The sequence below is a fragment of the Homo sapiens genome, chromosome 18 (genome assembly GCF_000001405.40).
Source record: "Homo sapiens chromosome 18, GRCh38.p14 Primary Assembly".
NCBI classification, from domain to species: domain Eukaryota; kingdom Metazoa; phylum Chordata; class Mammalia; order Primates; family Hominidae; genus Homo; species Homo sapiens.
This window is the reverse complement of record NC_000018.10, coordinates 44,712,676-44,734,862: the sequence shown is the minus strand read 5'-3', so window position 1 is coordinate 44,734,862 and position 22,187 is coordinate 44,712,676. Positions and strand designations below refer to the sequence as shown.

Genomic DNA, 22,187 nt, shown 5'->3' with positions numbered 1-22,187 from the left:
TATCCCCAAGATAATTTCTAACCTAAATAAGAGAAAGCAACATAAAATGTAATAAAATAAGTGAATTTTAAATAGTCCAAAAGAAGAAACGTAACAATGGAGGGACACATTTTGCCAGGAAATGACTGTTACTGCGGAGAGGTGCTCTAGAAGTTTAGAGGTAAGGAAGGCATGAGCTGAGGACACCAGGAAGGAAGGGGATTCTTCAAGGAGAGGTAAGTATTGACTAGATAGGGAGAGAGAGGAGACATTTAAGGTCAGAGCAATGTAAACAGAAGTATGGAAGTGGGAATTGGAAGTGTGGTCAGGGAATTCACGGAAGTCAGAAACTGGTAAGAGATAAGTCTTTAAATAACATTTCAGGTGAAATGGGAAGATCCTAGAATGTCAAACTAAATTTTTTCACTTTCTTTTTATGTCTTGCAAGAACAATGGTATTAACAAGGGCCTAAGTTGATTCATACACACTCCCAGAATATACAGGAGAGCTGGAATAGCAGACAGCTAGGACACACATGCAGTCTTCAGGAAGGCCCAGGGAAGAAACGAATACTAGCAGAGAGTACGAATTTAATTAATAGCTCATGAATGACAAATCCAGATACACTGAAGGGCAAAGAAATCCTCTCAAGCAATAAGCAATGCATCTTACTCACCCTTATAGCACATTTACCATTTACAAATTCTTATACTGCCTATCTGAGATTTTATTCTGTTATTTCCTTTTAGAAATGATCTCAACTAGTGTACTAGAAAGCCCCTGGACCAGGCCTCAACAGGGTCTGATTTTCAGGGCTTGTCCTCATTTGCTTCAGTGTGTGACTTTTGCCCCCATCATTACTCACTCCCCCAGCTCTGTGAAGGCCCTGAATTGTGATGGGAGAAGGGAACTTTTGGACCGGGCAGATCCTGTGATGAATGCCCTCAGGGTCTCAGCCACACATCTGTGGATTTGCAAATCATTCATAGGCTGATCAATTTCCTCATCTACACATGAAGATGGCAGCCTGGTCAGAAGGAACAGAAGGGGAGACCTGCTACTCCCTAATGGACAGGAATAGGGCCTCTCCCAGCCACTCCCCAAAAAAGCTGATTAATCTTTAAAATTTCTCAGGGACACCGTGCAATTCAAAGGCCACAGTCCCCTTGATGGAACACTGAAAGAGGGTTTTTGTTTTCCACAAAAAGGGAAATTGAGGTTTTTGTGGTGAAAGAGAAGGATGTAAAATCAGCCACGTAGTGGTTTATTCACAGCCTGACCCCTCCCCAAACCCACAGGGATACTGGAGCTGCGACTCATCTCTTCTCATGAGTCATGTGGACTTGCATGGGCCTGGTGGAGTTAGGAAAGAAAACACCAGACTCCACAGTGTGCACAAGCATTTGGGGACAGAGATGTGATCCAAAGATGGAGAGATACAGTTCCTTGACTTTAATGTGGAGAGACAGGCCGGAAGACAGGACTGTCCAGATCTAATAGAACCGACAGGTCGTCTCTCAAAGGGCCAGAGAGTGGCTATCACATTTGGGGCTTGTTATTTGAGCCGTCAGAGCCGACTTTTCCACTGACATCCCCAACTTCCAAATTAATTATTTACTTACCAGAGATTCAGCTTGGCCATGTCAGACAGAAATAACAGGGGGTGTTGTGTAGCTCAGATGAGCTGGCATTCAAACAGTAAAAGAGGACATCACTCAGACCACATGCCCCTCTCTGGTTCAGAGGGAGCCACTTGTGAGATTTAGAGGTCTCTAAGATCCCTACACCTTCCCTCATCTAGGTCTGGAGCTAGAAAGAGATTGCTGTGCTGATCCCAGGACTTCTTGTGGGAGTTGTTTTTCTGATTATTTTTTTTTTCCTGGCCCAAACCAGAATCCTGAGGGAGAATTTATTCTCTGACTCTGGTTTTTGAGAGTTTGAAATCCTAAGTGAAAGGTGCGAGCTGCCGGTAGGGCCAGGGCAGGAGGGGCTCAGCCATCACTGTAAGCTCTGTTTGCCGCAGAAGGACAGGTGTTGAGTTACACACTTGGGGAATGTGAGCGCCAGGAAGGGACCTGGTGGGTGCCAGCCAAAGTAGCGAGGTCAATACCTCCTTCTGTACTGGTTCTTCCTGGAGACCAAAAAAACAAACCATCCCTTGGCTTCAGGTTCCTGAAAAGACCTGAACTGTTCTTGTTTACTGTTCTAAGGGGCTGCATAGCACTTCTTTTTAGAGTAATTTATTTCATTGACTTCAAGACCTCAGAAAGGCAGCAGTATATGCATTGAGGGCTAAATAGGGCATGTTTACAGAGCACTTATTCTCGGCAGAAGGGTCTAAATAAATGCAACATACAATATGGCTGCTCCTGTCCATTGCAAGGGTGAGAAATAGCACTAACGTCTTGTTTTGACTAACGTCTTCACTTATATATCCGTCGGGACACAGGCTTTGGGTTTCCTCCTTTACTGGATGTCTGCTCAGCACAGCAAGTTCCCGGAGCTAGGAATTTTTGATCGTACATGCAGAAGACATCAGGGGTTTAGGGCGTCTGCAGTCAAGTCGTAGCATGTTAAAGAAAATACAATTGCATAGCCCTGCTCAGCTTCAAGGAGCAGTAAGCTAAATTCCAAGAATATCATATTTAGTCACAAAGTTCAACCAATTCAGGACTCATAACGAGGGTATGTGATCGTCTATCTGAGTGGTAATCAACTTTCTTAGGTCAGCTTCTATTTTAAATCCTTCATGCAAAGAGTCCAGCATATTTGCATACTCACACAGACACATTGCTCATCAAATAGAACTAGACAGCCTCAACACAAAAACTGAGAACATGCACCTCACACACACCAGCCACTGGGTATTTCATAATAAAGAAAAATGGGATCAAACAAGGCATTAGGAAGAGAAAAACAGGTTCAGCCAGATGCTATGGAAATCCTGATTCTTATCAGGGCAAACAATCAGAATTACTATGATGCTTCTTAGGGAGAGTCTACTCTGAACAGACACAGAATATTGAGAATATTGTATTTCATACTGTCTTCACGTGGACCAGGCAATTAGAATTATGCCCGTTTGATAGATGAGGAAAGTCAGGTTGAGAGAGCACGTGTTTGTCGGGTGGCAGAAACAGGAACTAGACCAATGTCTGTTTAATTGCAGTCAGTCACTCAACTTCAGGTTATGGAGCATATAAGGATATGTGTGTGTGTGTGCGTGCGCGTGTGTGTGTGTGTGTGTGTGTAAAGAACCATTTTCCTCCCTTCTAAAATCAGAATAATTCCATTAGCCCCAGGGTCTAGTAGAATAAAATATAAAACTATCATGACCAACATTTTTATTCACAAATCAAAACAATTCTAAGTTTGGTTAGATCGAGATGAAGCCATAATCACAACCCAGGTCTCTTGGCTCCTAACTCAGGGCTCTTCCAGACAGTAGACAAAAACCCACATGGATTCTGACAGTCTCATAAACCTCTCTGCGGACCCTGTTTTCTGTCAGTTTAGCGAGTGGTGCCTCTCCCGCCTGTGGCCATGTGGAAAAAGCACAGCTTCTGCAAAGCCTGATCATCTGGGCTGGCCTTAGTGACTGTGCTTAGTCAACAGAATGTGGGGGAAGGGATATTTGGAAATGCTGAGGGTCATACATAAGGGGCCTTGCAGCTCCCACCTGATTCTCTCTGAATGATACCATGTGTGAAGTCCAACTACCCCGAGACCTGCCATGCTGGCTGGAAAGTACAAGTCAGCCATGTCAAGAGGTCAGAGTGGAACCCAGGCAGCCCCAGCTGTTGCATCCATCCCAGCCCAGTCACCAGGGTCATACAGCAGACAAGACATGGAGAAGAGCTGACAGACTCTGCCCACAGCCAGAGCCAGTCACAAGTGGGGCAATGTCACACTATCACAGCCACTCCAACTGAGTTCCTGATTATGGAGGAACTATCACTACTAGGCCGATCCACAACCCTGACAACATGACAAAATGGCTCTAGTTTTAATGCCACTGAGTTTTGGGGTAGTTTGTTACACAGCAGTAGATAATTAGAACATCTTGTGTCTCGTCTATAAAGGGCTCCCAGGACAATCTTATCATCTAGAAACCCTGATACCATTTAAGCTTCCTCTTTCTCCCACCCCCACTGTAACTCTTCTAGCTGCTCCTTTTGATGTCTCTCTTAGACCAGTGGGGAATGATGAAAGCAAGAAGGATCTGCTGAGGGTCTGAAAAAGAGGACAGGCACAACAGGGAGCATGTGTCAAAATGCTTTCTTCTTGGTAGGCAAAAATGGTACATGAGAGCCTCTTGGATGGAGAGACCAAGCAACACAGGAAAGTTCCTGAAAAAAGAGGCTGGAAAAAGTCCAGGGTCAAGAAAAGAGCGAGGTTCCTCACTGCCTTCTTTCCCTGACTCCTGCATACCACCCCATCTACATATCTGTATAGCAGATCGCATGTTCTCTGAATCCTCCGTAGTTCCATCCTTCAGGATAGAGTTTACTCATTGCATCCCAAGGACTCCAGCAAACTCTTACCTCCCCAGTATCTGACAGCTGAATTATTGACCATTTAGCTCATATTGACTCTTAGTTTTCCATGTTTGTCTTATGTAGAATAGACAGAATAAAACTTGTTTGAGGGCAGAACCTATATTATATAATTTTTCTTCATACTCCATAGTAAAATGCACAGAACCAAACAGAATAAAGCAAGTCGTATTCAATATGTATCTAAGGGAATTTAGTGCTACCCATATAACAAGGGCAGATAAGGTCTCAGCCGCACCACTCTAGGCTTCTGCAGATGTTCCACGCTGAGTTTTCAAGAAGTTGACTCACACAGATGCATAGCTAGACCTCACGTCACACTCAGGCTTCTGCAAAGATTAGTCTACATGACAGTTTCTGCATCTTCTTCACTGGCTTCTGATCTCACAGCTCCACAGAAAACACTCTCTCAAAAGTCACAGTGACCCTGCGGTGCAAAAGCCTGTGTGACATAAACCACAGCCTCCCCGGGACCTCCTGGGGTTTCTCCTGCTCTAGCCAGACCACTCTTTGCAAACACTTTTTTTTTCTGCCTCTGCTTATCTTTTAAATGCTTGTAATCTCCAAAGATCTCTCCACAGCTCTAAGACTTTACAAGCTATCCCAGGCAAATTAAGCCACACCCATGGTTTTAACTATTAACAGATTCCAAAGCCCACAGTAATCTGCAGAACTCAAATATTCAGCTGCCTAACAAGTATCACCACATGGGTGTCCCCATAGGCCCCTTTAAACTCAACAGGAATCACATTGACTTGCTGCAGCATCCTCTTTTCAAGGCCTCCCTTCTTTATGAATAGTGATATCCATTTACCTAGGAGATATCTTAAATTCCGCCTTCTCATTCAACAACTAAATCCCATTAGCCACTGAGTCATGCAGATGCTACCTGCTTAATGCCTTTTATATCAATTCCCTTCTGATGCTGTCTCTGTCACCATGTGTTTCAGGTTTTTCTCACTTCTCACCTACGTTATGTCAAAGGCCTCTAGCTGGCATCTCTTGCTCCAGTCTCTCTCCCCTATGATCTGCTCACTGCATGGTTCTCCATGTGACCTTTCCAGAACATAACTCTGCTCATGTCCTTCTTTGTCTAAAATAAATCAGAGTTTTTGGGGATAATGTTCAACCTCCTAGGACACGGGGTCCAAAGAACAGTGACTCAAAGTGAACTGTAGAGCCAGATTTCATGGGTTCCAATCCAAACTCTACCTCTTACTAGCTCTGTAACAGGCAGATGACCTACTGTGTCTATGCCTCAGTTCCCTGATCTGTAAGGTAAAGATAACAATAGTAGCTACTGCCTAGGGTTTTATGGAGACTACTTGAAATACACATGTAAAGGGCTTAGAACTCTATCTGGCACACAGTAAGGATTCAATAAGCACTAGTTAGTTCTTAGCTGCATTCTTCCCACTGCCTAGTTCTTACCTCTGCTCCCAACCACCTTTGGCATCATTCATTCAAATGGATCTACTTGCATTTCTTCTAGTCAAGTCTATCATTTCATCACCCATGCCTCTGCATATGCCATTATTTCTTCCTGGAATGCCTGTTCTCCTTCTTCCTCTAGCTGACTCCTCTTGTTCCTCAAAACTTGCTCCAAGACTACCTTCCCTCCATCCCAGAGCTTTCTCTCCCTGCCCCCAATAGGATTTGGAGGATTATACTTTCTGTTCATTGAATTTGATACATTATTTTATAATTACCATTTTATTTGCCTATCTGACTCAAGCTTGTCTGATTCTTAAAGGCAAATGACATGTCTTATTTGATTTTATATTCTTAATGATGAGTACAATGACTACCTTAGAATCCACACTCATCCACTGTTAACTGAATGAACAAATGGTCCCTATGGAACATCAGTAACAGGTACCCAAACACACTTAAATTTGATTACCTGCACTTGAAACAAAACAGTGACTTTTTCCCGAGACCCGCATGCCTTGTGTAGTTTTTAATAGATTGCAAATAAACTTAGCACAGGGAGACGTGATCATGTCCAGGGAAATGATCAGCTCTGAGAACCACCAGTCTCTGACAGTGAATAACTGCTAAATCTCCAGAAGGTTTCTACTTCTGCCTGTCTCTTGATTGTCCTGCTCTCTGGAATAAATCAGACAGTACAATACAGGAATTTGAATAAAGTAGCCAAACTGTGCAAAAGTGATCACAATGGAGTAGAAGTGCATTATTCTGTCTCTCAGAATTAGCATATTTCTAAGTAGTGAGTCTTAAATGAGAGAAGACTTTGCTTTTCTTCCTGAGATAGCCTTCATTAATTCTTCAGAGTGAACCTAATAAGTGACGGTAGAGCAAACAGGGGATAAATGGTACGTGTAAGGACCTCCCCTCAAATTCAGTCTCTTTTTTTTATTGGATACAATTGCTCTGGGTTTAATTTGGGTTCTGAGCAAAGTGTCACTAACTCTCTAGCACAGCTTCTGTGTTTGAGGGTTAGATAAGACCAAGAAGTGGGGGCTATAAGAAGAATTACTTGTTGGATTACTTTGACCCAACAAGGGAAGCAGCATCTCAGCCCAGAAGTGTTCAACAATAGAAAGGCCACCCACAAAGCACCAAGGAGATTGGCTAAATGTCTGTGAGGAAACTCAGGATAATTCTCTTTCACCTTCGAGAATCTGATTTTATGATGGTGGTAGAGATTTCATATTTAAGGTGTTTTGAGAGCTTGGTGAAGACACAGTAGGGGTTGCGTAAATGATTGTTGTTCCTTTGAGGTTGAAGGGAACATTCTGGACATCTCAAACCATTCAGTTGGCAACTTACTACAGGGCTCATACATAGACAGTGTCCACCTACTGTCCATCCCCCCACACTGAAAAGTGATGCTGGCCACTCACTGAAAAGGCTGCCGTGAAAGCAGCAAGTTTAGAATGTCATCTGAATGCGTCTTTGTGAACCACAGGAAGATAGGCATTCAGCAACAAATCCTTAAGATGCTTTCAAATGAGAAGGAAGGCCCTGCCTCAAGACAGGAACCTCTGCAGATATCACTTATCCTAATCTCTCACCCCAAAGTGAGAGACAGAAATAAGGACACTGACAGTAAAACCTTAAGAGTTTGTTTTATTTGGGTATCAACACACACACACACACACACACACACACACACAGTGATCAAATATTTCAGTCAAATGCATGCAACTCATCCAGAGAGCTCAAACACTGAGTTATCCAAATGTTCCAATGCTAGTTACCCAAACGAACATTATGGAAAAGGACTTCAGAGAGAAGAGTCTGAACAGCAAAACTGAAACATGTTTATAGTGTTAAAAAAAATAAAAAGCTGTCCACCTCTTTTATTTTGCATTTGGATAATGCTTTAAACTTTCCAGGATCCTCTGATAACCACTCCACCCTCACGATGGTAAGATCAATGGCAAATGGATTTATCTCCCCAGTTGATCCCAGAATGAAAAACAGAAACAGAGTGTGTGCACAACTGACACACAATAATCTAGCCAGCCCTTTCATCTTGGGCTCTTCTCCACGTATTATTACAAAAACAAATTATGTAACGAAGCACACAGTTGTGTGGCTTGAGGCATTTATTAAAAATAGGGCCTTTATGAAGTCTTTGTGTACTTTACATATTTAATAAACTTCAAGTTCATGTCACTTAGAATCAAACACGTGATGAAATTTGAAAGTAATATTATTACAGTTTATGACTTCTAATCTGCAAATGGGAGGCGGTCCTATATAGCTTTGTGTTTAAGAATATGAACTTTGAAATCAGACTAACTGGACTTCAAACACTACCTCTTTTATATACTCTCTAGATGTCATTTGGCAAGTTATTCAACCTCCCCATGCCAGTTAACTCATCAGCAAAATGAGAACAGTAAGATTTACCTCTTAAGAGTTTTGGGGAGGATTACATATACATTTGCAGGTAGTAGGCTTAGATTGGTGCCTCCCATACAGAACTCAAGAGATAAGTATTATTATTTGATTATTCATAATCTCTTTCAATGATTGCCAGCTTTAGTTACTACAACAAAACAAAGTCCCTACCTTCCTTGAAAAGAATGTATTATGTATCTAGAACTGTTGGAATGAAAATCAAGAAGGCTTGAAATGTCACTTACAAGCTATGTGTAACAACTCACATGAGTTAGTTGTTAAAGTTTAAAAATTATGTAAGGGTTTCATGAAGCTTTAGGAATGGTCCCTGAATTGGTGGAAAGGAAATTCCCTTCTGAACTTAAAAGTCAAAAAACTTCAGAGGGAAGGAATCTTTTAGAGATCTACTCAAGGTCATATGAAAGTTCTTGGTTCTAATTCCATCCAGGCCACCAGAGAGCCAGGAGATGCCCATCCCCTTTGAAGCTTCTCATGCCTCCCTCCCCACCCCTGGCCACTATTACCACCCTACACCCTTTTCTAACCATAGATTTCTAAGTAAAAAAGGAAATTGTCTAAAACTGAAACTGCCTTAGTCTATTATTGGCTTTGGTGGCTGTGGGAAGAAAACGGAGTTGGAGGGGGGAGGTATGTTGATGAAAATAATCTGAGTCATCACTTCCTGGAAGAGGTGACAGCACACCCAGAGCCGCTGGGAAGTCAGGGGGCCGAGGGGGAGGAGGTCCCAGCTCTGCCACAACCTCACATAGCACCGGGAGGATGTCCCTTAACTTCTGTGGGTTCCTATTGGCAAAATGACCCTAAAGGCCTTCCCAGCTATATGCCCCTATAATTCAGGAAAGGTCCTGGTGAATAAACCATCAGTGCTATTCACTGTCAGCCTAGAAAACAAAATGAACCTGTGCTCCTAAAATATGAAAGCCGAATCTTTCAAGCAAGGGCAGGCTGGTTATGGTTGAGTCAAGACATAACTGCTTTGTTTCCTAACTACTTCCCCAAACCCAGACTCTGCCCCTCCACACACACCCCCCAACCCAGTTTTGCTACACAATTCCTTGGACAGTACAGGTAACTCATTAAGAACAGAGGCCCTGGGATAGCCAGACTTAGTGCAGGAATCACTTTATAGTCTCTCTTAGATGTGAAATTATATGAAATTATTCCCCAAACTGTGAGCAGATACAGATGATTACCAGATTTAGATGTTGAAAAGAAAAGAACAATAACAGCATCAAGATGGGAGTCTCACGTGTTGCAATCACCTGCTTATGTGTCTCCCTAGCCTTGGGAGAGAAAACTGGCCCCTTTTACATTTATCTGATGGTAACTCTATGGGCAGCTACTAAACCCTCCTTTGAAAGTAAACCCCCATTGCCAGTGACCATGTGCTAAATGAGTGAGTGAAGAAATGAATGCTGTGCATCCCAAATTAGGAAGCAAGGAAGGAGGGCACATTCATACAGCTCCTTGAACTCTGCACACACTTTGGCTTCTTGCAGTAATTTAATAATATTCTTGCTCATTCATATTCTTTCTTTCCACTTCCAGCCCCACCCCCACTCATTATGTAGTCTGACTGAATACCACTCAAAATATTTTCTCAATTAGAGGAGAAAACAGGAATTTGCCACTTGTCTGCCTCTATTCTGCTGCCTGTCAGCCTTCAGCAAATATTTCAATCCTGGGCCTTTGCCTGCTGCTAACCCCTGTCCTTTAACCCTTGACCCTGTCCTCTTCAAATCCTCTAGGCTTTACCTTCTCATCCTCCCAGCCCAGACACTCCACTCCAGGGCTGGTGTCACAGGCTACTATGTTTAACCACAAGAGGTACAGTGATGCCCCTAAAGCAATCAGAACAAGAGCTGTGCTTCTGAGATTTGCTTATCTGATCAAAAGATGCTCAGAAAAATTAACATATCACAGTGGATGAGAGACAATCTGTAAACAGACTCCCACTCTCACTTACCTATCTCTGGTCTTCAGAGCCTCTTCTCTGGTCTAGGCCAGCTCCCCTCCCCCACCCTATATCCTAACTCCCTTAAATGGGCATGTCACTGAGATTAGAGGCTCAGGGGTTGGCTGTAAGATGCAGAAATAAAATGGAAATCATGTCCGCTAGAGCAGTAAGATGCAGAGCTCCTCTTTGACTTTTCCCAACATTCACATTCAGCCAAACCACAAGATAATTTGCTTCTAAACCCCTGTCCCAACTTCCTCTAACCACTGCAACTTCCCTGGCTCCAGCTAAACCCCCAGCCCTGTGACATCCAACATTAGAACCACTGGGACTCATCATTTCCCCATCCTTGCCTGTGTCCACCAACATGTGAGCTGTGCCACTTCTGGGTGTTTCTGTGAGTATTTGAGAAAGGCGTGGAATATTTCAGGACTTTTTCGTTGGCAATGACTACTTTGCTCTCTGATAGCACTCCTTCCCATGTAATTAATAGTTCTGTCTCTTGGCTCGTTAAAAACGAGACCCTCAGGTCCCAGGCAGCATTATGCAGGGTAAATCATGTTTAAGTAACTGCATAACTAGTGGGTCAGTTTTATCTTTTGTCTTGGCTGCGACCATTATTTAGCTGGGTTCTCAAAATGCCCGGCAGTGAAGCTTTCATGTCAGGCCAGTATTGAAAGACAAATGTTTTCTCCCCTCCCCACCCCCACTGCCAGCCCCTCTTCTCTGAATGCTGCATGCACAGGGCAGCTGGGAAATAAAAGGCCCCTTTATCTGATTATCCTGGGCAAAGGCGTGGTAGGTTCAGGAAGGTTCAAGAGAGAAGTGCCAAACTGTAATAAGATGGGCCAAGCAAATAGTTGGGGCAGACTCCCATGCAGTGGCAATGACCGGCCACAGCAATTCAGTCTCCTGTCTCATTTTTAGCACTCAGCTTTGTGATGACTAAAAAGGGTGTTGTTTTTTTTCCCCCCGCCGACTGTCGCTGATTGCCATGTGATCTTGAACAAATCACGAGACATCACTGATCTGGGCTCTATGTCCTCATCTGTGAAGGGAAGACAGCTCTGATGATCTTCAAGGTCTCTTTCTGCTTTAACATTCTTTGTGTGTATCCATCAAGCAATAAAAAACAGTGTGACCCTCTCAAATAGCTATGGAGAATACCGCCTGACAGTATAAAAAGAGGACTTCTGAAGAGATGAAAGCAGCAACTTTCTTTATAGGCAGAGTTTGTCTCATATAAAAGGAAGTGAGAGGAAGAGAAGGAGAAGGAAAAGGCAAGATTACCCACTTCACAAAGGAGAAATTAAGGGGTAGGGAAATTTTGTCCAATTAACCCAGTTATGCCTAGTGTTCCATTATTGGAACACTAAGCTTGTGGGAGTTATTTATATCCTACTGCTCAAGGTCATCACCAAGGTCTGATTTTTCACACCCAAAAATTTTCAACCTCCAGCCTAAATGGGTTAAATTACCAATGTCATACAATTAGTTATTGGTGCTGTTAAAAATAAAACTCAGAAGGACTCCCATTTTTGTCCTAGATTCTAATCCTATTACATTATCCTTCCCATAGGATATTGTGATGATGAAAAGAAACGGTATTTGTGCTGTTTAATTTTTGCAGATTTGCATTTACCATTTTCTTTGGCCAATCTGGAATCCTAGAAGCCTACTAGAGAACCGTCCTGAAGACATGCCCTTCACAATCATCAGCCTTCTACAAGCACTCAGATGGGAATCCTTTAGTGACCATCAGAACCCAATAACCAGTCCCTTCATGAGCGTACTCCCGAATTTTGTTCATCCCATCCACAGAGCACGTGATGCTCACCACTGGAAGACAGAAATCATGGTGGCCATGCAGCCTTTAGACAGCTGCAGCACCCGAATACTGCTGCTCTGCAGGAGGGTCTACAATAGGTCCCCATAAACACTGTAGAATTAATTGAGACAAAACAACAGTATCTTTGACATAGAAGGATCCATTGGTAGCAAATACTACTCTAACATCTCCCTTAGCTTATAACAAGCTGCCCTAAATACGTTCTGCCTCTTGCTCACACACACCACCCATTAAGCACAAGAATTGAGGCAAAATTGTGTGAGAAGGTAGGGCAGCAGGGGACTCATGGGAAGGTAGGGCAGCAAGGGAAGGGGGCACAAAAAGGCGACCGGAGATGGTGACTAGGAATATCCCAAAATAATATAAACAGGTTCCCAGGATTCCTTCCTCTCCTACTGAGCTTAGAGCCCAGTCAAATCCAGGCCCCCCAAACATCTATGTCAATGTCATACCAATGCTGGGCTCTTTTCGGTACACACATGCATGTCCACGCAGATGCCCTCTCACATACACATGTCCAGATACCCTCTAGTTGGCAAACAAGTGACAATATGCAAATTATCAGAAGCCACAAAGATTTCACATGCATGTCCACGCAGATGCCCTCTCACATACACATGTCCAGATACCCTCTAGTTGGCAAACAAGTGACAATATGCAAATTATCAGAAGCCACAAAGATTTGCTTCGGTGGGGAGCCTGAACAAACAAGGAACAATTTTGCAAGTGACCACAGATGGCTTAGGTAGCTTCTCTGCTTACAATGGACACTAACAAGATTTGCCAGAACTAATTCATTCTTTCACACCATTGCCCTCTTCCCCCACCTTCTGAGGGTAAGGAAAAGTCCCCCTCATGGCCATATGCATTCTTGTTCCTTTTCAACACAGAAAAAGTGCAACTCGTTCATCCACAGTGTGAATGGGTCATATTTAAAGCGGGTAACATAGATTTAAAAGGAGATACTGTGGAAGCAAACATATGCTGACTTCTCCCCCGCCCCCGACCCACCTACACCATTTCCCTAAAACCCTTATTTGGAGAAAGGGGTAGAAAAGAAGAGATTTATGGAGTCCCGTGCTGAGCTGGAGAACCCAGTAGCAGAAAAGAAATGAGTGGCAAAGAATAGACAAAACAAAATGGACTAGAAACAGACAGTGAACCTATCAGATGAAATCCAAACCTTCTCACATGATGGGTTACAACTGGCCTCATATACAGAAAGTAAACTTTGGCTTTATGCAGCAAAGGAAGAAACACTTGATGCAGTCTTTCCTCTGTGCATTCCTATATGAGGCATAACTCCTGGAAACAAAACTCCAAGACAGAGGCTGGATTCAGGACCTTTGTGCATACCCAGAGCTCTTCTTCATGCAAGGCCCTTTCCAGTCAGCTTTCAATAAGTGTCAGTAAGATGCTTATGAATTCTTAAGAAAAGAAATCAATTACTTCTTCAAAAAAACACCTGAACTTCTCTAGGTCACAAGAATAGAGACCTTAGAGGTGGCTCCTTTCCACGTCCCAGAAGGCTCTCTCAGCCTCTTCTCTGTATGTGATGACAGAACTCAAGGCCACTCATGCCCTTCGCTGGGTGCTGCCATCAATTTCTAGCCAGTCTCTGGGCTCACTCCCCACCAATGCTGGACGCAGTATGATGTCCTAAAGCATCTCTCTGCACATTCCTTCATTCTCTTCTCCCCAAGGGGTTGGGGTGGGGGGTGGGGGTTGGAGGGCTCCATTGCTTTCTTAGTGCACGTAGGAAAAAGTCAAATCTGTCTGATCTGGCCTACTGAAGCTTCCACTCCAGATTTTCCAGGTCAACTCTGCAGTCCAGCAGATCAAGGCTGCCCACCATGAGCACTTTGCCCTCTGCACAGTGTTCAAGCACACTGCCTATACCCCTTTCCCTCCCACCTAAATCCTATGCTTTCTTCAAGGCCCACTCAAGCTTCTTCCTCCATCCCTCCCTGTACTCTCTCACATGTTCCACCATCGGGTACAACATAAGCACCATGCGTGGGCCTAACCTCCCTAACAAGGTAGACACTGGGAAGCTTCCCCAAAAGCCAGACAAGTCAGTCTAAACTGGGAGCGATGGCTCTGCATCCTGTCACCTGCTCAAGTGCCCATGTGGTTCCTCTCTTCATTCCCAGGCATCATTCATACTAGGTGTAGCTGAATTTGTCTACTTTTTTTCTCAAATATATATGTTGGATACCTACAGCAGCGGCTATTGAGAAAACTATACTGTTGATTCGATAAAATTTGTTTACATGTACATAATCATGTTCATGTGAATACTTAGTTAGTTATAGGAATAGGTATTTCTATGGTGATGTCCTGGAATATCAGAGTTGGAAAGGACTTCAGTGTCTTCTGCTTCATGGCCTTCATTTCAAGAGGTGACCTCTGAGAACAAGAGGCAGGTGAGGAAACACAGGTGGTTAGGGAGAGAGACTAAAATTCTTGCTTCTTAAGCCAGGGCTCTATCAGATTGTATGCAATATCTATCATCCCAGAGGCTATACATGCTCACACATATGTGTATGAGCACACAACAGTGCACTCTCTCTAACATGCAAACCAATGCGCGCCACCCTCTTCAGCTGAGGTCCTCAGAGAATCATGAGGACAGAATGACACAAATGCCTGAGAAGTCCCCGGATGCTCTCCAGATTTGACATCTTCTCACATGTTTGTCCTCCCATCCAGATCTTTGCCTCCACTGCCAGCAGGCTGTGTGCTTTGACCTCTGACCCCCACAGCTGGACTGTCTTCTGAGGATGACAAGCTCCAAGGACCAACAATTATCTCCCAGTGTTAAATAAGATGAGCAGAAGTGGCCACTGCTGCTCCTGCAATCAGGGCCCAGCCAGAGAGGAATCTGCTGCAAGTCTAAAATTGGGAGCAAAGGTCAGCTGTCATTTAGAAATGAAGCCAGAAGGAAAGGCAGGTATCCAGAAGTTCAGCACCTGCTCTTCCCTGGAGGTGGAGTGGGGCACAGCTGGCCAGACTGGAGCAGCCCCTCTCTGCTTATAGGGTATCTGCAGCAGTTCTGACACCAGTGGGAAGCTGTCAGTACCTTGGGTGGAGGAGCAACAAGCATTTTTGAAAAGGTCCCAGAATCACAGACCAGGCTCCTCCAGGGTACTCTCCATTCCTTCTCGGAAAAGGTCATCTGAACTAATGGAGACTTTCAAAGGCAGTCCTTCCCTTCAGACCTTGAAATCCTGGTGCCGCCCATACGCACATACCACTCCCCTGCCCTCCACCCCTTGCACACATTCTCTCTCGGATGCAGTTTTTACCTTCCTCCATGAAGTGGTCAGCTCTCGCGTGGCCTCCACTTCTGAACCTGATTTGCCCGAATACACTGGGCCTTTCAGGTGTTTTGACCTTCCCCTAATTTATCAGATTTCTGCTTCTATTTCCTCTGCTACTTTTTTTGGATTCTGTTCCGTCTTCCAAAATGTGTGATGCATGATTTTTCAGGTTTCTTGTCAAGCTTACTATTCTACCTTCCTCTTCCTATGCTGGGACTTTCAAGGACATCCCATAGATTAAATATATCAGTACCATAAAACCCCATGTGTCTTCACATAGACACCAGAATGGAAGCCTTCAACTAACATCTCACCTTGTTCTGCTTGAAGGTGTTTCTTGACTTTCCTTCCAATTAGGCACAGACTGTCCCTATTACTCAGTCAAATTAATCGGTCAATTACAAGTTATTTTTTGAGAAGCTCTGACATCCTCTGTCCTAGTTGAGATACTACGAGGTGCTTTCTGCTTATAGAGTATCTGCAGCAGCTCTGATACCAGTGGGAAGCTGCCAATACCTTGGGTGAAGCAACAAACATTTGTGAAAAGCCCCAGAGCCAGAACTACAGACAGCTTTCTGTCTGCAGCTTATGAGTCAAATAGACAACGGTACCCCACTTGCAACATCTGAGGGACAATACCCACTTACATCTCCATAGTACTGCCTGGCATGCAATAAAGTGTTACTGAAGAAAATATATTTGGTTGAATGAGTGAATAAATGAATGAATGACTCAGTTATGCTAAGGAAGAGAGCAGTTTAAGTGGATAAGCAGCATCAGCAGGGCCATCCTGGTTCCATTCAGCTTAGCTCTCTCTCTCTCTCTCTTTGCTACTAGGACATCTTTCTCAGACTCAGTAGAGCCCACTGTTCTGAAATCAAATTTTGTTTTTGACACTTCTCCCGCTCCTCCTGCTCTCACAGCTCTGGGATCTGCAGCTTTTGGTGACCCTGGGCTCTGAAGAGGGACCCTGGCTAACCCAAGGTGCAGCATGAATCAGCTGGCAGGGCTGAGCATGAGGGCCATTCTTGACTCCAGGTCCAGGGTCTGACCTGCACCTGCTGCTACCCAATCTGTGGCATCCATCACTTTCAACCTCCCTCACCTAGTCCAGTGTTTCTAGATCCTATCTGCTATTTCTCCCTCATTGCTTCAGGCAAGACTTGTTTTCATATCTGGATTATATTCAAAAATGAACAGGAGACAGCATTTACTAAAAACCAGATCATTCCATATGGTAAAGTGCTGAGCAAAAACTCTTATTAGTTTCAGGAGTAAAGTTGAGTTCATTAGTAAAGTTGCTACATTTCTTATAATCCACACTATTATGAACCTATGACATATTTTAAGAAGTTAAAATGCACACACAAGCACACACACACACACACAGATGCATATATGCATTTTAAGTCATCTAGAAAAATTCTATGTCCTTAGGAGGAAGAAACAGAGAAAACTTCAACCTCTCTGACCTTCTATCTCTGTCTTTCTCTTATCTTTGTTTTATTTTATACTCTATTCTAAGGGAATCCTCAGGTCCTTCAGTGCTCTGGGTCACAGGCTTAGTCCACCAGTGAGAGGAGGGAAGAAATGGTGTGTTTAAGAACAGCTTTTTGGATTTCATGTATTTTTACCAATTTAGTGCATTCATCATATGTTCATTCCCTGACCCTTTCTCTCATCACCATAAAGGATCAAAATATACCCTTTTGTTGGTAAAGGGCCAATCCCTTGCAATGGCCCCAAAGTAGACATGGGAGTATGTGCAGTGAGGGCAGACCCTGCAGAGCCAGAGGCCAGCAGAGCCCTGTGTCTGCAAAGTCAGAAGACAATCTGAGAGAATGTGCTTGAGCATCCTAAATCTGTTGAGACAAGTTTCATCAATTTTGTGGAACATGACAGAAAAAGAGGACAAAAGCATGAAGTTTGGGAGCAGATCTTATACAGCTTTCTCAAGATTCGACCCAACTGTCTCTCTCGTTTCCCTGGCATCTAGCTATTGTGGTCTCACTTTACAAAGAGATTAATGGAAGGACCAGAAAAACACCTCTCTGCTGGTTTTCCAGAAGGCAGAGTCAGAGGTGAGAAACTCTGATTCCAGCCTTGGGTTCAGCTGCCTGAGCACCGCATGAGGAGCCACGGTGGCTGCCTTGGAGCTCAGAGGGTGTGGCACTGGTATCACAACCTCCTGGCTGCCTCTGAGACCCAGGGCAATTTCCTGGAGCTCTCTATGCCACATTTGAGTCATCTGTAAAATGGGGATAGTAACATCACATTGCGGTTGTGGGGAAGATTCGGTAGCAATGTGTGTCAAGTGCTTGGCAAAGTTCTCAGCTCCTCTAAGTAGCAAAATGGCAGCTGTTGTTATGTCCAGGAAAGCAACCTGCACAGCCAATTGGCTTTCTCTATGATTCAGGGGTTCCACAAAAGAATGACTCACCTGGATAAGGGCGGTGGCTAATGCCATAATCCCAGCACTTTCGGAGGCCAAGGTGGGTGGATCACTTGAGGTCAGGAGTTCAAGACTAGCCTGGCCAAGATGGGGAAACACCTTCTCTACTAAAAATACAAAAATGAGCCGGGCATGGTGGCAAATGCCTGTAATCCCAGCTATTTGGGAGGCTGAGGTGAGAGGATCGCTTGAACCTGGGAGTTGGAGGTTGCAGAGAGCCGAGATCGCACCACTGCACTCCAGCCTGGCAACAGAGTGAGACTAAGTCTCAAAAACAAACAAACAAACAAAAAGAATGACTCACCTATGCTTCTGATACACAGTTCCCATTTTTCAGAAATAAGAAAACATAAAGAGCCTGGACACCAAAGAACCTTCAAGAAAACCTCCAAGGACAGCAAGGCCTCACCTTTAGCAAGCAGTAGGATCCGGGTGTGACTTATGGGGCAGGTTGGACACAGAAAGAAAAACTTCCGTCAGTGGTGGATTTAATTTTTTCCCTATTTTTTTTGTTTTGTTTTGTTTTTCTCCTCCTGCCAAGGGATTAACGTATAGGTTCTTAAACAAGGGGATCCCCCACTTATAGCTGACAGCAGCAGCTGCAACCACTGACTCTCCTGCAGAATGGCAGGGAATCGAATCAAAAAGAAAAGCAAGTGGACAACCTTTCCTCCGGGAGCATGAAACACAATACCAGCCTTTCGCCAAACCCAGCAGACACCAGCCCTGATTGGAGGTTGCCTCGGAACAAAGGGAAATTGGTATTTAAAAAAAAATCTTCTGAAAGCCAACTCAGCAGATGGTTTTTTCCTGGGCTCCAGGAGAAGGGAGGGAAGGTGGGGGTAGGGGAAGGATGCTGGGATAACACAACTGCCACCAGGATACAGATGACTGAGAAGTGACAAAGATGGGCAAAGAGGGCTGACCTCTCACCCCAGAATTTCACAAAGGGCAATTACACCATGTGGTGGGTATCTGGACGCGCCCACTTCCAACCTGCAGCTGCTGTCCATCACAGCCACGTCTGGGGGCTTTATTAAGAGAAGAGGAGGAGAGAGGCCAGGGAATAAAAGGATATTGAAGGAAGTGATGGAAAAGTTTAATTAGCAACGATAGTTTGTTGGAAATCTACTATACAGTAGTTTTAAAAAAGAACACTTTCTATTTCCATTGCACTGTTAACATTTCAGAACTGTTTTATAGCCATTGGCTCAGATTATCTTCAGAATAATGTGAAAAGAAGAGTGACATTATGACTCCCTTATTAAATATGAGCAAACACAGATGGACTTGTTAAAGGCAGAACAGGGACTTGGACCCAGAACCCTTGACTGGGGAAACTGTTCCCCTCAGGCCTCAGGCTAGTCAGCGCTCATGGAATCTTATTTTGCAAGGGCCTCAGCTGAATCCCACATTCTCAGTCCAAACCAGGACACTTTAGAATACCCTGTAAATAACTTCTGGATTAAGTCACAGCGAGCCTATTATCCCACAGCCCTGTGCTGCTGCCAGCCCATCACTTCGTACCACGCCTCACTGCCGCTGTGACCTGCCCAGTGTTTTCTAGCAGGGATACGGCTATGGGCAGTCAAGAAAGGCGCTGTGGGTCTCCAGGATGAAGCTGCAGTGCTGGAGTTTACCCACAGCCAGGGCCAAGCAGCAGAAACAACCAGGTGAGTTTCAAGAGACTCAACTATTCTCTTCTTAAAGATGCCCCAGCAGGGCAAGGCAGGGTGGAATGTTTCGAAGATAGCTTCCACTGCTGGAAACCAGGAGACCTGAGGGTTTGAGTCCCAAACACCCCCCACCCCACCAACCTCAGTAATTAGCTGTAAGCTCAGGCAAGCCATTTAAACCCTCAGAGTCCTTTCCCCAGTTTATAAAACAGGGAGAAATAACAACTTTGCTTAACTATACGAAGAGCAAACCCAAAAGAAGGAACAGCTGGGCAGATGTGAGTACACTTTATCAAGGTGCTGGGCAGATGTGATTGTCCACACCATGCACTATCATCTGGATCACATATTTTGACAGTTACTTATTAAATACAGTGCCCTGGGTTTTTCCCTAAATGTCCTGAGATCAATACTTCTTAGCAACATCTTTCTATACCCTACACAGCACTTAGGCTGAAAACCCCATTAAACTCTGTAGGTACTTCTAGAATTAAGATGCTTCAGCTCTGTTACAGTATATCTGGATAGGAGAGCGCTCACACGTGCATGCGCACACACACACATACACACACCCCGAGAGACACAAGATTTCAGATGTTTCTAACTACCAATGCAAAATACACAGAGCTGACTAAGCAGGAGCTGTTTTGATATTAATAGAACAGAAGAGCTAAGGCCAGGTGCGGTGGCTCACGCCTGTAATCCCAGAACTTTGGGAGGCCAAGGCGGGCGGATCATCTGAGGTCAGGAGCTTGAGACCAGCCTGGCCAACGTGGCAAAACCCCATCTCTACTAAAAATACAAAATAAATTAGCCCGGTGTTGTGGCATGCACCTGTAGTCCCAGCTACTCAGGAGGCTGAGGCAGGAGAATCACTTGAACCTGGGAGGTGGAGGTTACAGTGAGCGGAAATCGTGCCACTGCACACCAGCCTGGGTGACAGAGCAAGACTCCTTCTCAAAAAAAAAAGGAGACCTAAGAAGAACTTGTTTAACATCTAGGCTGGAAAAATAAAAATAAGTGAATATTACATTAAAAGATACAATTCCTGTCCTCAGGGAGCTTACACCATAATTGAGAATAATAGACTTCACCTTTAACAACACACACTTAACAGCCCTTTCATTTAGATAAAGGAGGTCATTATATAAATGAGAAACCAGGTTCGGAGAAGGCAGATAGCCATCTAGAGATGTATCTCTACAGAATACATAGAAAAGGATTTCTGACTGAGTTGGGCAACTACATTTAAAAGTGCCTTGTTTCTGTGCCTTCTATGTAGTCACTAGACCCAAACCAGACCATCTGTATAACATTCGATTCACGTCTCTGCCCAGAACTGTGCACAAAGAGATGATAATAACGCAAACACCTGAATTTTAGCCTAGAGAATCGACTGACTATCGGATGTGATAATTTGTACAGCAAAAGTAGCATAAGACAATATTAGTTTGGCAGGTTTCCTTGACCTTGAGTTCAGTGTATATGAACAATGACATAGCTTCTAGAAAGCTGGTACAGCTTGGGGTCATGTTAATAGAGATACTGTGTCTAGAACAGAGGAGGTTACAATACCCTGGCATAATGCAGGGCCAGATCACCTCCCAGTATTGTACTCTATTCTGTGAGCTCTCCCACTTACACCTTTTAGAAGAGACACTGAAAAACTAGTATTCCCAGCACAGGAACCAGGGTGGTTTGGCACCAGGAAACCATGGAATACAAGGAACACTTTCAGGAACTGGAAATATCTAGGCTATAAAAGGGATGCCTAGTGCAATATAAGAAAGAGCTTTCTGAAACAAGGGCTGCCGCGAAAGGTGGCACGTCCCCCCCCGTGAAGGCCTTTGAGCAGCAGTCAAATAACTATGCCTTAGGGAGTTGGAAAGGGGTGTTTTGTTCCATTAAGGGGATGCTGAGGCCGGGCGCGGTGGCTCACACATGTAATCCCAGCACTTTGGGAGGCCGAGGTGGGAGGATCACGAGGTCAGAAGATCGAGACCATCCGGCTGACATGGTGAAACCCCGTCTCTACTAAAAATTCCAAAAATTAGCCAGGTGCAGTGGCAGGCGCCTGTAGTCCCAGCTGCTTGGGAGGCTGAGGCAGGAGAATGGCCTGAACCCGGTAGGCGGAGCTTGCAGTAAGCAGAGATCACACCACTGCCCTTCAGTCTGGGCGACAGAGCAAGACTCTGTATCAAAAAAAAAAAAAAAAAAAAAAAGAGGGATGCTGAAAGAGAAATGCTCAGAGGCTCTTCTAATTTCTAGCAATATCCACGATTTTGGAAGTGTGACTCAGTTGTGGACCTATGACTTTCTTTTGACACAGAGCTTCTGTTGTCAGCCTTCTCCTGCCTAATGACCAGATGCCTGATTCTCACCTGTGTCCTCAATGAATTCAACTTCTCATTCGAGGACCCTTTCTGGATCTCCCAATCTTGGCTTCCTTCATGATCCAATAGCACGCAAGCCCAATCAGAAACACTGCCCTGCCATTTAT

General features: G+C 44.3%; 1 protein-coding gene across 19 annotated transcripts in view, besides 6 other annotated features; it reads right to left on the bottom strand.

Annotated features, from left to right (window-relative positions):
* SETBP1 (SET binding protein 1) overlaps positions 1–22,187 on the bottom strand; it is a 388,438-nt gene that overhangs the window by 333,648 nt on the left and 32,603 nt on the right. For 3 of the 19 annotated variants that reach the window (XM_047437479.1, XM_047437480.1, XM_047437481.1), the window contains exon 3: positions 1–22,187. This exon is cut by the window's left edge. The exons of the other annotated variants lie outside the window; for them this stretch is intronic. The gene's annotated coding sequence lies outside the window, so the exon portion shown is untranslated. 19 annotated transcript variants of the gene reach the window in all.
* Positions 451–1,650: an enhancer, noted in NCBI's record as "MED14-independent group 3 enhancer chr18:42313178-42314377 (GRCh37/hg19 assembly coordinates)". NCBI's record gives its function as "activates an origin of replication core promoter dependent on BRD2, BRD4, P300/CBP and CDK7 cofactors, and independent of MED14, by STARR-seq in HCT116 cells {active_cell/tissue: HCT116}" and the evidence as "EXISTENCE:reporter gene assay evidence [ECO:0000049][PMID:35650434]".
* Positions 9,160–9,349: an enhancer, noted in NCBI's record as "active region_13254". NCBI's record gives its function as "activates an Ori minimal core promoter by ATAC-STARR-seq in GM12878 lymphoblastoid cells {active_cell/tissue: GM12878}" and the evidence as "EXISTENCE:reporter gene assay evidence [ECO:0000049][PMID:35858748]".
* Positions 9,480–9,529: an enhancer, noted in NCBI's record as "active region_13253". NCBI's record gives its function as "activates an Ori minimal core promoter by ATAC-STARR-seq in GM12878 lymphoblastoid cells {active_cell/tissue: GM12878}" and the evidence as "EXISTENCE:reporter gene assay evidence [ECO:0000049][PMID:35858748]".
* Positions 12,713–12,762: a silencer, noted in NCBI's record as "silent region_9414". NCBI's record gives its function as "represses an Ori minimal core promoter by ATAC-STARR-seq in GM12878 lymphoblastoid cells {active_cell/tissue: GM12878}" and the evidence as "EXISTENCE:reporter gene assay evidence [ECO:0000049][PMID:35858748]".
* Positions 17,089–19,868: an enhancer, noted in NCBI's record as "VISTA enhancer hs2335". NCBI's record gives its function as "enhancer in: hindbrain (rhombencephalon)[9/13] | midbrain (mesencephalon)[9/13]" and the evidence as "EXISTENCE:transgenic organism evidence [ECO:0001131][PMID:17130149]".
* Positions 17,436–18,635: an enhancer, noted in NCBI's record as "CDK7 strongly-dependent group 2 enhancer chr18:42296193-42297392 (GRCh37/hg19 assembly coordinates)". NCBI's record gives its function as "activates an origin of replication core promoter dependent on BRD2, BRD4, P300/CBP, MED14 and CDK7 cofactors, with strong dependence on CDK7, by STARR-seq in HCT116 cells {active_cell/tissue: HCT116}" and the evidence as "EXISTENCE:reporter gene assay evidence [ECO:0000049][PMID:35650434]".